At 40.3% G+C, this 17,475-nt stretch overlaps 1 protein-coding gene across 2 annotated transcripts in view, besides 2 other annotated features; it reads right to left on the bottom strand.

The window, feature by feature from the left end:
* The window catches only part of PRTFDC1 (phosphoribosyl transferase domain containing 1), a 103,993-nt gene that overhangs the window by 65,994 nt on the left and 20,524 nt on the right, over positions 1 to 17,475 (bottom strand). The window lies entirely within an intron of this gene.
* Positions 6,853 to 6,997: an enhancer, noted in NCBI's record as "145 bp enhancer 245 fragment used in the MPRA reporter construct; PK_construct_3316". NCBI's record gives its function as "activates an SV40 promoter by MPRA in K562 cells {active_cell/tissue: K562}" and the evidence as "EXISTENCE:reporter gene assay evidence [ECO:0000049][PMID:23512712]".
* Positions 6,920 to 6,930: a transcriptional cis regulatory region, noted in NCBI's record as "NFE2L2 motif; enhancer activity is reduced when this motif is scrambled". NCBI's record gives its function as "necessary for full MPRA enhancer 245 activity {active_cell/tissue: K562}" and the evidence as "EXISTENCE:site-directed mutagenesis evidence [ECO:0005528][PMID:23512712]".

The raw sequence follows: 17,475 nt of genomic DNA on the forward strand, positions 1-17,475 counted from the left end.
GTTTGAAGGGCAGAGTTTAAGAGAAGTCAGTGAGATTTATTTTGGAATATATCAAGAAAATAAGGCCTTGAGACCTCTGCTCTGTTTCTTCCAAGGTCTAGGCCATAATAAATGCCTTTTAAAGAACTTTATTAAAACTACAGCTCTAGCCAACTCCTTCTCTGACTAGGTTCATGTCAACAAATGCTTCATCTTTCTCACATTAAAACAAGTAGCTTCTACCTCAGGCCTAGCTAAGATGTAAGAATAATCAAAGTTGTCACTTGCTGGTCACCTGTTTGGATGATACAGTTCTAGGGGCCTTCCATATGCCATCCAATTATTACTCATAAAAAAATCTTCTCATAGGGGTCAAGGGTTGAAAAACTACCTACTGGGTACTATGCTAACTACCTGGGTGATGGGTGCAATCGAACCCTAAACCTCAGCCTCATGCAATATACCCATGTAACAAACCTACACATGCACCCCTTGCATTTAATATGAAAGTTGAAAAAAACAATCTCATGAGACACACATGGCTAGCCTTATTTTATAGAAGAGAACACTAAGATTCAGAAAGGTTCAGTAACTTGGTATCAAAAATTAGCATGTGATATTGGAATTTGCACCAGATGCGTCTTTATTCTAAAGTTTGTGTTTATGGTTTCCATATTCTCTTCATTATGCTTGCCTTTTCAAAGACTCCTGACATTTGGACAGGGAAATGGGTCCTCTAGCTTCCTTTAATGTGCTTCCAAATAAATAACAGCTCCAAAAGGCATAACTGCTTGACTTAAATGGTAAAATCAGAGCTTCTTATGTTCCTTTTCATGACCATTTCTCACATTTGGCTTCCATATCCCTATAGGCAATGTTGGAATTGTGCCCACTCCCTAGGCAAGGGGTCATTTCACTGTTTCACTCCACTTCCCATAACTGGGTGTCCAGAGAGGCTGCTACTGCTGACACATCATCCTTGGCTGAACCTGACTGGTTCTTTGTTCTTAAAGACACTTGAGCCCTTATCAAGGTCAACAACAGTATCCATCTTGCTAACTATGGTGGTCAACATTCAGTCTTCTTACTTGTTCTATTAACTGCATTCAGTGGCTGATTAGCCCTTGCTTCACTCAGCTTCCAGGACATGATTCCCTGGTTGCTCCTCCTCAGACTGCTTTACTAGTTTCTTCTTGTCCTCCCAGCTTCCAAATAGTGGGAAGCTCCAGGTATCAGTCCTTAGAGCTCTTCTCTATCCACCTTCACTCCCTGGATGACCCATTCTTCAGCACGGCTTTAAATCCCTTCTATACATTGACCACGTTTAAACAAACATCTTAATCCTCTGCCTCTCTTCCCTGAACTCCAGACTGGTATATCCAACTGCCTGCTTATCTTGGATGTTTAGGAGGAAAAATATTCCAAAACCACACCCCTGGTTTCCTTTCCAAAGCTCCTCTTTTCACAATCTTCCCCATTTTAGTAAATGGCAACTCAGTTTATACACTTGCTCAGGCCAGAAACCTTACAGCCATGTCAATGTCCACTAATGTAAAATTCATCAGCACGTATGGGTGATGGCTTTGTCTTTACCTATAAGATATATACAGAAATCCAAATACTGCTCACCAGCTCCTCTGTGACCATCCAGGTTCCAGCTATCGTTATCTCTCACTGCAATTACTGCAATATCTTTTCAGCCATCTCCCTGCTCAACCTTTACCCCTTTCATTCTATTCTCAGCACCACACACAGACTTATTCTTTAAAATATAAGTCAGATAATGACATTCTGCTCAAAACCCAGTGAAATCTTCCTACTTACTCAGAGAAAAAGGCTAACTCCATACAGTGGCCTGACAGAATCTACAAGATTTCACCTCTCATTATTTCTCCAAGTCACCTCTGACTAATTTCTTCTCACTCTTCTCTGGCCTCCTTTGCTTTTCTTCAAATGTGTCAAGCACATTGCCACCTAAGGGCCATTGCACTTGCTGCTTCCTCTTCCTGGGACTGACTTCCCCTGTCTGCATGGGGAGCCTTTGTTTCTTTCAAGTCTCTGCTTCAATGGCGCTACTTACACCTTCTCTGACCACTCCCCACAACCCCTCCAGCCTACTCTGTCTCTTTTTCTCCACAGCATTTTCCACTTTTTGGCATATTTCTTCTTTTCTCGTTTTGTTTTATTTTCAATTTCCTGTCTGTTTTACCTAGAATGTAAAATCCTGACATACGAGTGTAACTATTTGGCGAGTGAATGGGCTATGCAATTTAGGGCTTGTTGGAACCCTCAATAACATCACCTCTTTCCCAACAAGGCTATCTCTTCCACCTAAACTTTAGATTTTCCCTTACAGTCCAATTACCATATATGTGTATCTTCTCATTACCCTGTATGTAGATCCTCAGCTCAATGGTGTATTCGAGGATCCAGGCTCTGTCCCCTTCCCCTTTGCCATCCTCAGTAATTAGCTGCATTCATATGCTTGTCTTTTCAATGACCCAAGGAGATTGCCATAGTTCCAGGAGTCACTTAAAGACAAAATAACATTTTGCTAAAGAGAGCGAGATTTCCTCCCATAATCTACTTTTCATCAGGGAAGTAAACCATTCCCTCTGGGAGGACTCTCAGCAGTCTTCCCTTTACTGTGTCAAATGCCCCATTTTTTAACTGCAAGGGAGGCTGGGAAAGCAAGCCGCTGGTGTGAGCAGCCTCTGCAATGGGATGCAGAAAGTGTGGTGGGGGTAGGGATGGTTGTTGGATAGAAAAAGCAAGTGTGTCTGTTGCAGTACACATTTTTTTAACTTCCGAGAAATTTTTCTTCTCCTCTTATTTGTCTTCTCTTATTCTGTTACAGACTCTTGTTCTTACTTTAGAGATACCAAGATTTTATTCTTTCTCCATGGGAATGTTAAACATAATATTTTGATGTTTTCTTCTGTTCTCTGTTCTCGCTCTATTTTCTTGGGGTTCCTTTTTTAGGGTTTTTTAGTTTTATTTTGTTCTGTTTCATCTGGTGTTTCATGCTAGACACTGTGCTCCTTGCTTCTAAGTGAGACACCAAAAGAGCTGATGGGAAAGAGTTATGTGTCCATCAGGGGGCAGAGATTGATGACAGATGGATTTACTAGTGGATTCCCATGGAGACAGATGTCCTTTTCAGTGGGGGAGTCCCAAATGCAATAGATGGAGGTCTTTTCTTTACAACCATTCAGTTTCCTCAAAGAACATTCACTGTCAAACCTCAGTGCCTCATTGGTGGGGGCTACGAGTGGTCACATGCCCGGCTGCTAAGGAAGAGAGCTGATGGTCTCAGAATCTCATATAAAAAGTTTAGCTGGATCTCCCCAGGCCTCTGTTTTACCTGGTGTCCGTGTTTTTGGTACTTTTTTGGTTCATTTTTTTCTGAAAAATTAATCTTCAGTTTCCTGCAATAGTGGTAGAAGGGGATGAGGCTGGGTGGGAGGGGAGGAGAGCTGTCACCTGACTTCCAACAATGGAAGTGGGGTGGAGGACCAGGGAGTCCCAATGATCTTCACAATGACATCATCTCATTGCCTGCTGTCCCTGACATTGCTGGAGCACTAAGTCTCTCAAGGCCTCATTTAACTGGGTTCTTCTTTGGTGTCATTCATTGCAGGCACTTGGGTCCAACTTATCTCCATGCCATTACATTCATGTTCTCTGGACCTGCTGTCTTCTCTCTTGTCCAGTTTGTCATATGAGGTCACTTTTAACTATATCATATCATATCATATCATATTATATATATCCATGTCATTTTAGTGGAGAATGCAAATCAAATATGTGTGGTTAATATCTTTTTTATTTTATTTTATTTTTATTTTAAGAAATGGGGTTTCACATTGTTGCTCAGGCTACAGTACAGTAAGGATTATAGCTCACCGCAGTCTTGAATTCCTGGGCTCATGGGATCCTCCTGCCTCAGCCTCCCAAGGGCTGTGACTACAGATGCATACCACCATGCCTGGCTAATTTTTAGATTTTTGTAGAGACTAGGTCTCACTATGTTGCCCAGGCTGGTCTTGAATTCCTGGGCTCAAGCAATCCTCCCCACTCAGCCTCCCAAAGCTCTAGGGTTACAGGTGTGAGCCACTATGCCTGGTCCAATCTGTCCTTTTTCAATAGACGTTCCAAGACATTAAAGATAATATAACTTCAAATCTGTCAGGGACCTTACAGATCTTGAAATCCAACCTCATCATTTTACAAATGAACAAAGGAAAACCCATAAAAATGAGTTCCTTGCCAAAGTGAACGGTGGTAATGGGGCCCTCCTTCTGGGAAGCAGTGTGGAAAGACTGTGGCCTCCATGCTCTTGAATCAGCCTGTGTAGTTTTACATCTTAGCCCCATTCTCGGCCAGCTCTATCTTAAACTGTCTGTGGATCACTTTCCTTACATGTAAAATGGGGATAATAAATTACTTTACTTATCAGGTTGTGGTGGGCACTAATGAAATAATATTTATAAGGCACTTAAAATAGTACTTTCAATAGTAATCAATCAATATATTATTATTAGTTTAAGTAAATCAAATTCAACTTTTAAAATCCTATACCTGGTACTAATAAACTAGAAAGATATCTTAGGATATATTAGAAATAAGTCTTTCTCTTAAAAATATACTATAAGGCTATAGTAACCAAAACAGCATGGTACAAGTACAAAAACAGACACATAGACCAATGGAACAGAATAGAGATTTCAGAAATAAGACCACACATCTACAACCATCTGATCTTTGACAAACCAGACAAAAACAAGCAATAGGGAAAGGACTCCCTGTTTAATAAATGGTGCTGGGAGAACTGGTTAGCCATGTGCAGAAAATTGAAACTGCACCCCTTCCTTATATCTTATACAAAAATTAACTCCAGATGGATTAAAGACTTAAATGGAAAACCCAAAACTATAAAAACTCTAGGAGAAAATCTAGGCAATACCAGTCAGGACATAGGCATGGGCCAAGATTTCATGACAAAAACATCAAAAGCAATTGCAACAAAAGCACAAATTGACAAATGGGATCTAATTAAACTGAAGAGCTTCCACACAGCAAAAGAAACTATTGTCAGAGTGAACAGACAACTTATAGATGGGAGAAAATTTTTGCAATCTATGCATCTGACAAAGGGCTAATATCCAGAATCTACAAGGGACTTAAACAAATTTACATTAAAAAAAAACCATTAAAAATGGGCAAAGGACATGAACAGACACTTCTCAAAAGAAGACATTTAAGTGGCCAACAAACATGAAAAAAAACTCAACATCACAAATCATTAGAGAAATGCAAATCAAGACCACAATGAGATACCATCTCATGCCAGTCAGAATGGTGATTATCAAAAAGTCAAGAAACGATAGATGCTGGTGAGGCTATGGAGAAATAGGAAAGCTTTTACCCTGTTGGTGGGAATGTAAATTAGTTCAACCATTATGGAAGACAGTGCGGCAATCCCTCAGAGACTTAGAATCAGAAATACCATTTGACCCAGTAATCCCATGGCTGGGTATATACTCAAAGGAATATAATAAATCATTCTATTATAAAGATACATGCACACTTATGTTCACTGAAGCACTATTCACAATAGCAAAGACATGGAATCAACCCAAATGCCCATCAATGATAGACTGGATAAATAAAATGTTATATATATATGTGTATATATATATGAGTGTGTGTGTATATATATATGTGTGTGTATATATATATATACCATGGAATACTATGCAGCCATCAAAAGGAAGGAGATCATGTCCTTTGCAGGAACATAGGTGGAGCTTGAAGCCATTATAGTCAGCAAACTAATGCAGGAACAGAAAACCAAGCACCACATGTTCTCATTTACAAGTGGGAGCTGAACAATGAGAACACATGGACACAAGGAGGGGAACAACACACACTAGGTCCTGTTGGGGATGGAAGATGCGGCGACAGCATCAGGATAAATAGCTAACACATGTGGGGCTTAATACCTAGGTGATGGGTTGATAGATGCAGCAAATCACCATGGCACACATTTACCTATGTAACAAACCTGCACGTCCTGCACATGTATCCTGGAACTTAAAATAAAATTCAATTTTTTTTTCAAAAAAGGAAATAAGTCATTCTAGTAGATGTATTCTGCATAGAGTAGTCTAACAGTACTGCTGATGGAAAAATAACTATCCCTGAAAAAGTCTACAATAATCTATCCATTTGATATATATTTAAATTTATCCATTAAAAGAAACAAACATGGAATTCCATAATGGTTTTCAAAATAAAATATTTCACTAATCTTCTAAAATTACTAACAATTCTGTTACAGGAACACTGCCTCAAAGCATCTAAAATGGTATTCTGTTTTGCAGATCTAAATTGACCTACACTGAAAGTAAGTAGCTTTTGCTTTAAGTATAGGAATAAAACAAGAATATGTCACTTTCATGGTTAAGTATTTCCCTGCCTACAACACAGCGGTTACAAGTGATTAAAAAAAAAACAAAAAAACAAAAAACAAAGGTGTCATTATCACTTCCTGAGTGATCAGGGCTCAGATATCGCTGGAGTAAGGGGTATGTTTAAAAATCATTTTTGTCCTAAGAAATTATCTTAATATGAAGATGAGGGAGAATATCACACATTTTCATTTCTCAGATCTCTTACACACGCCAATGTGAATTTTGGAAGTGTGAGTTGGGGCAGACTTCTGAGCCTGCCTTCTAGCTATCTTTCCTAATTAGAGGAGGATCCACACCCCAAAACAACACACAGAGGTCTATAGGGCACCAAAGCCCCCATCCCGGTCCTTCAACAGGGACTCCTGAGAGCTGCAGAGAGGAAGGAGTCATTCCAGGCCTCGATGATCACATGCTAACCAACACTTCCCACTGCTGTATTAGATTAGCATTTTTAGCAAAAGTACTGCTGACTCATCACCAACTGCTGGCCTTTTCCTTTCCACTCCTGCCTAGTCATTCCTCTCTGTGGCGTGGGCTGTGGGGGCCCTTGACGTACTGTTGTGCCCTTTTCCTCACCAAGAGTCATCCTGTTTTTAATGACATTATTCTCCTATTTGTCAATGTCTGTTTGAGTTCATTTCTGTTCTCTAGGAAAAAAAAAAAAAAAAAGCTAGGCAAACAAAAAAATGTCAAAACTGTCCTCCTCCAAATGAATCCCAAATTAATAAGTAGAAAATTAAATAATTCTTGTCCTTGAAAGCTACAGATTGTAAGCATGTTGAATTACCTGAGTGATTAACAATAATGCTGTGTTTAATAATGGCAAACTCATGCAAGAAAGGAATATACACTATGGGTTAAAACGACAATAAAACCATTAAACTCAAACTTTATTATAGTACAATGAGCATCATAAACAATTGTCAAAGGCATTATTTTTCCATAAATATTTTCCCCAAACCATTTTATTATATATCCAACTGTGTTGCTTTTTCCCACCAAATCCAAATTATTTCCTGGTAACTTTCCTAGACTTTAAAGTTCATGTGTTTTATAAAATACAAATGGAATATGTAATCTCAAAAAGATTTTCCTGGTCTTGATGCTAAATTTTACATTCTATATCAGTTACAAAATGTTGATAAAAATAACCTAACATAAAATAAGGATAATTGTTAATATTTTGCTGCCTGCAATTATTTTCCTGCAGAAAATGAGAAATTATCTGGGCATAATTAATAAAATACATCATTAGATCCTTTTTGGAAAAGATCAGGTATATATCAGTTAAACTGATTACCGCATTGATATGGTTTGGCTCTGTGCGCTTACACAAGTCTCACCTTGAATTGTAATAATCTCCATGTGTCATGGGAGGGACCCTGTGGGAAGTAATTGAATCACAGGGGTGGGGTTTTCCCATGCTGTTCTCATGATAGTGAATAAGTCTCATGAGATCTGATGGTTTTATAAAGGAGAGTTCCCCTGCATATGCCCTCTTGCCTGCCACCATGTAAGATATGATTTTGCCCCTAATTTGCCTTCTGCCATGATTGTGAGGCCTCCCCAGCCATATGGAACTGTGAGTCCATTAAACCTCTTTCCTGGGTCGCTTCCAAGATGGCTGAATAGGAACAGCTCCAGTCTGCAGCTCCCAGCATGATTGATGCAGAAGATGGGTGATTTCTGCATTTCCAACTGAGGTAGCTGGTTCATCTTATTGGGACGGGTTGGACAGTGGGTGCGGCCCATAGGGGGCAAGCCGAAGTGGGGTGGGGCATTGCCTCACCTGGAAGCACAAGGAGTTGGGTGATTTCCCTTTCCTAGCCAAGGGAAGCTGTGACAGACTGTACCTGGAGGAACCGTACACTTCTGTCCAAATACTGCACTTTTCCCACAGTCTTAGCAACTGGCAGACAAAGAGATTCCATCCTGTCTGTGCCTGGCTCAGCAGTCCCATGCCCATGGAGCCTTGCTCACTGCTAGCACAGCAGTCGGAAATCAACCTGTGATGCTGTAGCTGGGCAGTGGGAGGGTCGTCCACCATTGCTGAGGCTTCAGTATGTAAACAAAGTGGCTGGGAAGCTCAAACTGGGCAGAGCCCACCACAGCTCAGCAAGGCCTACCGCCTCTCTAGACTCCACCTCTGTGGGCAGGGTATAGCTGAACAAAAGGCAGCAGTCAACTTCTGCAGACTTAAACATCCCCGTCTGATAGCTCTGAAGAGAGCAGTGGTTCTCCCAGCACAGCATTCGAGCTCTGAGAACGGACAGACTGCCTCCTCAATTGGGTCCCTGACCCCCATTTAGCCTGACTGGGAGACACTCCCAAAAGGGGCCGACAGACACCTCATACAGGTGGGTGCCCTTCTGGAATGAAGCTTCCAGAGGAAGGATCAGGCAGCAATATTTGCTGTTCTGCAGCCTCCGCTGGTGATACCCAGGTAAACGGGGTCTGGAGTGGACCTCCAGCAAACTAAACAGACCCGCAGCTGAGGGGCCTGTTAGAAGGAAAACTAGCAAACAGAAAGGAATAGCAACAACATCAACAAAAAGGACATCCACACCAAAACCCCATCTGTAGGTCACCAACATCAAAGACCAAAGGTAGATAAAACCACAAAGACGGGGAGAAACCAGAGCAGAAAAGCTGAAAATTCCAAAAACCAGAGTTCTTCTTCTCCTCCAAAGGATCGCAGCTCCTCACCAGCAATGGAACAAAACTGGACAGAGAATGAGTTTGAGGAGTTGACAGAAGTAGGTTTCAGAAGGTCGGTAATAACAAACTTCTCTGAGCTAAAGGAACATGTTCTAACTCATCGCAAGGAAGCTAAAAACCTTGAAAAAAGGTTAGATAAATGGCTAACTAGAATAAACAGTGTAGAGAAGAACTTAAATGACCTGATGGAGCTGAAAACCACAGTACGAGAACTTCGTGACGCATGCACAAGCTTCAATAGCTGATTCGATCAAGTAGAAGAAACGATATCAGTGATTGAAGATCAAATTAATGAAATAAAGTGAGAAGACAAGATTAGAGAAAAAAGAGTGAAAAGAAACGAACACAGTCTCCAAGAAATATAGGACTATGTGAAAAGACCAAATCTATGTTTGATTGGTGTACCTGAAAGTGATGGGGAGAATGAAACCAAGTTAGAAAACACTCTTCAGGATATTACCCAGGAGAACTTCCCCAACCTAGCAAGGCAGGCCAACATTCAAATTCAGGAAATACAGAGAACACCACAAAGATACTCCTCGAGAAGAGCAACCCCAAGACACATAATTGTCAGATTCATCAAGGTTGAAATGAAGGAAAAAATGTTAAGGGCAGCCAGAGAGAAAGGTTGGGTTACCCACAAAGGGAAGCCCATCAGACTAACAGCAACAAAAGCCAAAATAGACAAATGGGATCTAATTAAACTAAAGAGCTTCTGCACAGCAAAAGAAACTATCATCAGAGTGAACAGACAACCTACAGAATGGGAGAAAAATTTTGCAATCTACCCATCTGACAAAGGGCTAATATCCAGAATCTACAAAGAACTTAAACAAATTTACAAGAAAAAACAACCCCATCAAAAAGTGGGCAAAAGACATGAACAGACACTTCTCAAAAGAAGACATTTATGCAGCCAACAGACACATGAAAAAAAAATGCTCATCATCACTGGTCATCAGAGAAATGCAAATCAAAACCACAATGAGATAACATCTCACTCCAGTTAGAATGGCTATCATTAAAAAGTCAGGAAACAACAGATGCTGGAGAGGATATGGAGAAATAGGAACACTTTTACATTGTTGGTGGGAGTGTAAATTAGTTCAACTATTGTGGAAGACAGTGTGGTGATTCCTCAAGGATCTAGAACTAGAAATACCTTTGACCCAGGGATCCCATTACTGGGTATATACCCAAAGGATTATAAATCATGCTACTATAAAGACACATGCACACATATGTTTATTGTGGCACTCTTCACAATAGCAAAGACTTGGAACCAACTCAAATGTCCATCAATGATAGACTGGATTAAGAAAATGTGGCACATATACACTATGGAATACTATGCAGCCATAAAAAAGGATGAGTTCATGTCCTTTGCAGGGACATGGATGAGGCTGGAAACCATCATTTTTAGCAAACTATCACAAGGACAGAAAACCAAACACTGCATGTTCTCACTCATAGGTGGGAGTTGAACAATGAGAACACATGGACACAGGGCGGGGAACATCACACATTGAGGCCTGTGGAGGGGGTGTCGGGGGCTGGCGGAGGGATAGCATTAGGAGAAATAACTAATGTAAATGTCGAGTCAATGGGTGCAGCAAACCAACATGGCACATGTATACCTATGTAACAAACCTGCACATTGTGCACATGTACCCTAGAACTTAAAATATAATTAAAAAAATAAATAAACCTCTTTCCTTTATAAATTACCCAGTTTCAGTTATGTATTTATTAGCAGCATGAGAACAGATTAATACAAGCATATTTTTTGTATATATACATAGCATGCTTAAGTTTCATGGGACCAGCAAGCTTTCAAATGATAAACGGAGGAAATGCAGACAACGTGAAATACAACTGAAATCTTCAGGCATCTGTTGTGATTAATACTAATAACACATACACTTTCTTGTGGGTCTGACCCTTCCTAGTTTCCAGCTTCCTCCCTCCTAACTGTTAAGTCACTTGCTCCCTATCCTATCCCCACTTCATCTACTGGCTCGACCTCATCAAATCGCTAGGAAGAAATCCGACCTTAGGTGGGGTTGGAACTCTGTGGAACTGCTAGGCAGCCAACTGGAGTCTGATGCCCAGCAACTGAATGTTATGCCTCTCACAATGGTTTTGGTCTTTCTGCTCTGTTCCCAAGTTCCAGTATCCACTGTGTGCTCTGGATTTGTCCCTTGTCCTGTGCCCACGTCTCTTCCTGGGAACTTGCCCAGTACTCCTGCAGAACTAGAGGGCTTTCTTCTCCTGCCAGTCCACCTCCTAGGGACTGGAGTCCTTTTCCTCTTCCACAGATCCAGGAGACAGACATGGTGTTAAAGGACCTAGTTTGGATGTCACTTCTAGCTGTGTGTTCTTGGGAACCCAGCTAACCCCTCTGGCCTCCATGCTCTTACCTGTGAAACTTTATAAGGATCTTGCAAGGGCTTAATAAGCTAATAGATATAAAGCACTTAGGACAATAGTTGGCCCTAAGTACTCAGTGAATATTATGTTTTATTAGCAGTGGTACCAACATACACAAGTGGGCTGATACTGGCTACCTAATACTTGGAGTTCTGAAGGCTGTGATCTTTCATCCATCTTTTTTTGAGACGGAGTCTCATTCTGTTACCCTGGTTGGAGTGCAGTGGCACAATCTCAGCTCACTGCAACCTTCCCAGCCTCCTGAGTAGCTGGGACTACAGGCGCCCGCCACCATACCTGGCTAATTTTTGTATTTTCAGTAGAGCTGGCATTTCACCATGTTGCCCAGGCTGGTCTCGAACTCCGGAGCTGAAGTGATCTGCCTGTCTCGGCCTCCCAAAGTGCCGGGATTACAGGCATGAGCCACTGCGTCCGGCCATTTCATCCATCTTTCAACTACTTATGACCCCTGCTGCACTGGACTTCAACTCACATCTGTAGCAGAGTGAGTCCATTCCCCGAGATGTCTGCTCCAGGGCCGGGTCCTGTTCCTGGTCCTGGATTCAACCCCAGCCTGTTGCAGTCAGCTAAGTTGAGCACAGCTCTGTCCCCAGAGTGATCTCTCAACACTGGATTGATACTATAATTTAATAATTCCTTCTGCATCATTCTCTTATTTTCCCTCTCAGTGTTTGCTTTTCACAAGGAAAAACAAACTCTAATGAGAATCTCTCTAGAGGAATAAATTTGAATATGAAGAATGTATGTCAAGAAAATGCATGGATATTTATAAAATAAAAAGGCTGTAAGGAGTGATAACAAAAAATACTGAGATTAACCTTATTACATAAATGGGCTTTGGTTTCACTTTAAAAAAAAATTTCACTTCATAGAATTAACTATCTCAGAGTAAACTTGCCTAGAGCAATGCTAGATGATCTCTTTTTAGGCCAAACTAGATATTTGTTTCATGCCAAGTTTCTTCATCCATGCCCTGCTGAAAGCCCATCATAAATACCTCTTAAAAACCAAAAGTCAAAGAGAAAACAGGACTGTCAATACTCTTTGTTTCAGTACACATAGGAATAAGACAGATGTTTCAGCGTTTCTATCCAGAGGTCACAGAGAAATTATGTTCTGGTTTTCATAAATACTTCTGATTAATTTTTAATGATTTATATGAACTGATTCAAACCACCCAGGCCTATTCCTGATGTACTCTTTAGTTAATAACTCTCCCTTTGAAGTCTGCAAAAATGTTTTGAGGATGTTAAAAAATATTTTAGACACTAACATGGAAAAAATCTGTAGCTTCAAAGGAAATACCCAACTGTTTGCAAAAGAGTATTGAAGTGATATTGCGGGACCCAATTTTTTTTTTTTTTTTTTTGAGACAGAGTCTTGCTCTGTCACCAGGCTGGAGTGCAGTGGCGCAGTCTTGGCTCACTGCAACCTCCACCTCCTGGGTTCAAGAGATTCTCCTGCCTCAGCCTCCCGAGTAGCTGGGACTACAGGTGTACACCACCACGTCCAGCTAATTTTTGTGCTTTTAGTAGAGGTGAGGTTTCACCATGTTGGCCAGAATGGACTCTATCTCTTGACCCTGTGATCTGCCTGCCTCAGCCTCCCAAAGTGCTGGGATCCTACAGGCGTGAGCTATTGCACCCGGCACAGGACCCAAGATTTTTAAATGACCAAAGAGTAAAGACAATGTTTTCTGTTATATTTCAGCTATTTGAACACTTGCAAATAAAATTGCTGAAAAAGATGAGGCGCTACCAATTTTCACTAACTCCAAGTTACACATTTTTTGTTATAATATCTCCCAAATCAAGATGCATCTTACATACAATCCATGTCAAATCATGGCTTAATTTAGAGCATTTTTTCTTTCATAGTGGTACATAAAGTAACAATCTATGATGCCTTTAGATTTAGTGAAATATGGTAAGTTTTAGAATTTTTGTGGTCTCTCATCTTCCCTCTTCTAGTCCTTTATTTTCTTCTATTTTCCTATTTCTTTATTTTTCCTCTCCATTTTTACTTAAAAATATGTATGTGTGTGTGCATGTGCTTACCTATAAACCTACTTTGGACCCATCTGGCACCCCCCCACAACTGAGGAACTCTTCTACTATCTTCAAAGAATTGGAGTCTTTTTTCTTCACCCAAAGCCCAAGGTGAGACTCTGCTAAACACAGATTTCCTGTCTCAGAAAGAAAAGGAGGCTTTCTTTTTCTTTTTTTCTCTTAAGACAGAGTCTCGCTCTGTTGCCCAGGCCGGAGTGCAGTGGCACAATCTCAACTCACTGCAACCTCCACCTCCCGGGTTCAAGTGATTCTATTGCCTCAGCCTCCCAAGTAGCTGGGATTACACGTGCCCACCACCACGCCCAGCTAATTTTTGTATTTTTAGTAGAGATGGGGTTTCACCATGTTGGCCAGGCTGGCCTGGAACTCCTGACCTCAGGTAATTGGCCCATCTCGGCCTCCCAAAGTGCTGGGATTACAGGTGTGAGCCACCGTGCCAAGAAAAAGAAGCTTTCGGCTGAGCGCAGTGGCTCACGCCTGTAATCTCAGCACTTTGGGAGGCCGAGACAGGCAGATCACGAGGTCAGGAGATAGAGACCATCCTGACTAACACGGTGAAACCCTGTCTCTACTAAAAAACTACAAAAAAATTAGCCGGGCGTGGTGGCGGGCGCCTGTAGTCCCAGCTATTCGGGAGGCTGAGGCAGGAGAATGGGGTGAACCCAGGAGGCGGAGCTTGCAGTGAGTCGAGATCGCAGCCACTGCACTCCAGCCTAGGCGACAGAGGCAGACTCCGTCTCAAAAAAAAAAAAAAAGAAAGAAAGAAAGAAAGAAAGGGAGGCTTTCAATTCCAGGCACCCTTGCTACTTGGAAACAGTTCAGCAAAAGTTCACCCTGGTGTAGGGTAAAGACTACTCACTAAAACTAAAGACACTGAACCTGGCTTATCCATTCTGTTCCCATTCCTCACAAGCACAGATAACAAGAGCTGACTGATTTAAACCCTTTGTTCTGAACTGTGGGAATGAGAGAGAAAAAATGTATTTAGCGTTTCTCTTCCCTCAAGGGAGCAGGTTTGTGGCTAACCCTTAGCTCTAATGAGCTTCTTTAATACGAACGCCAGCTTCCCCAGGGGCCCACATCCCCTGTGTGGCAAATCTCTCGGCCCTACTGTGGTTACACTGTGAGTTGTATTTTAGCTCCAAAAAATCTCTTGGTGTTGCCAACATGCAGGAATTATTCATACAAAGCAGGGCACATTCAAACAACATGGGGCAGGATCTAGGGCAACTGTGGCTTGCCTAAAATAACATTCATCCTCAATTTTTAAAGCCTTGAAGTTGTAGTTTGAAGATTGTATTTTGTACAGAGGTTAGCTAACCAAATTGGTGGGAAACAATGAGATCAGAATGTTGCACCTCTGAATTACACTTTATCCTCACATTGGATTGCATATAAATTAATGAGCTTTTAAACCAGGGCAACATTTGAGAGAGAATAAAGGGAAAAAACTTGGCAAATAATGCATCCACATACAAAAAAGCTGTCTAAAAAGTCACTTGCTGGCACCTAACAATACTTCCCTCAAATCCTCCTGTTTTTCCACTCAAAGTCCCTTAGAATAGATATCCCAAAAGGCCTCCCACTTCCACCCTGATAGAGCTTTCTCAAAACACACTAAATCTGATTGCAGTCCTAGCTGTTTGGGAAGTTGAGGCAGGAGGATCATTTGATCCCAGGGAGGTTGAAGTTGCAGTGAGCTATGATCACACAACTGTACTGCAGCCTGGGTGATGGAGCGAGACCCTGCCTCTAAACACATGTACACACACACAAACACACACACACACACACAATCGGGTAGCTCAAGGGACTGCTGAATTATGCCTGTTTCTCTTTGATTCGAGTCTCTATATGCTCAGGAGTTAGTATGAAGCCTGAAGCTCAAGGTTCTTTCCGAATTTTTCTGGATTTGGCCTCCTAAAAGCAGCAAGCAAGCTTTAAGTGAATCCAGAGAACAAGCAGGTAGAGTGAAAGTTCATGTCTTGTGGAGTATCTCCATGGTGCAGGGCAGAAAGAGGAAAAGCAAAGCATAGTTTTCCATAATTTACAGAAAAACCCAGTGTTAATATTCATTTTCTTAGAAGGTACTACTTGATAGCTTATTAATTCAACATATAAAACATTTCAGAAAAAAAAGCAGGTAATTGTCTATTTATGGATATTGTCATTCTTCCAGCAATAATAGAAGCTGGCTTAGCCGGGTTAGGTGAATGTCAAAATAAAGCTCAAGAAAAAATAATGCTGATTCATTTGGTCAAATGTTCTTCCTTTTAGCCTAATTTATCTCAACACATCTCTAGGGAGACTGTACACTCCAGTGGTCACAGTCTTGAGCTCTGGCGTGGAACTTTGATTTAAATACTAGATCCACCACTTACATGCTGCTTGACCTTGGGCATGTTACTGAACATCTCAGGTGTCTGTTTCATTATGTGTAGTACAAATATAATAAGGCTGCCTGTTTCTTATTTTGTGTCTACTATTGAATTAATCAAGTTTGGAGTTTCCTTTATTCCTTTTCATCCTCTTTACTAGCTGAAAAATTATAAATAACATTCCTATTTTTTCAGTGGTCACCCTTAAGAGGTGCTGTTTAGAGAAATACGCAAGGAAAAGGTATGAGAAATTAGAAAGAAATAGTAGTATTTAGTTTGACATGGATTACAATGGTGATAGTTTCCGCAATATAAAATATATCCTGGGCCATAGAACAAGCCTCAAAAAATTTAAAAGAATTGGAATCATACAAAATACAGTTTCTGCAACAGAATTCAACTAGAAACAATACAGGAATTATGTATGGAAAATCCCCCAAATACTTGAAAATTAAACAACACGAGACAACCAATGAGTGAAAGAGGAAATTAGAAAATAGTTTGAATTGAATGAAAATGAACACAATATATCAAAATGTATAGAGGCAGCTAAAGAAGTACTTAAAGGAAAACTTACAGCATTATATGTTTGTATTAGAAAATAAGAAAATCTCAAATCTATGAACTCAACTTTCATTTTATGAAACTAGGAAAATAAAAGAAAATTAACCCCAAAACAAACAGAAGGAAGGAAATAACATAAAAGCATAAATCAATGAAACTGAAAACATAAACACAAAAGAGAAAATCGAGAAAGCAACAAATTGGTTCTTTGAAAGAATAAAAAAATTGAAAAACCTTTAGGCATACTGGTGAAGAAAAGGAAAGAGACAGAAGATACAATTTAATACTATCAGGACTGAAAGAGAGAATATCACTACAGAGATTAAAGATAATAAGGGAATATTATAAACAACTTTATGTCCAGAAATGTAAAAACTAGATAAAATGGACAAATGCCTTGAAAGACACAAACTATTAAAGAGTGAGAAAACTATTAGCCTGAATACTCCCATATCTACTAAATAAACTTAATTCCAATTAAAAAAATCTTCTGACAAAGAAAGCTCCATGTCAAGATGGTTTTACTGGTGAATTCTACCAAATACCAAAGACGAATTAGTACTAATTCTACACAAACTCTTCTGAAAAAAAGATGAGGAGAAAATACTTCCCAGTTTATTTTAAAAGACCAATATAAGCCTGATACCAGAATCAGAAAAAGGCACTATAAGAAAAAAAAAAAACAAAAAACTATGGTTTAATATCCTCCAAGCACTTAAATGCAAAATTCCTCAAAAAATTAGCAAGTTGAATCCACCAATACATGAAAAGGATAATATGTCATTATATTACATTAATGGAAAGATAGTCCAACATTAGCAAACCAATCAATGTATTTTA

This window comes from Homo sapiens, chromosome 10, assembly GCF_000001405.40.
Source record: "Homo sapiens chromosome 10, GRCh38.p14 Primary Assembly".
Classification (NCBI taxonomy): Eukaryota; Metazoa; Chordata; class Mammalia; order Primates; family Hominidae; genus Homo; species Homo sapiens.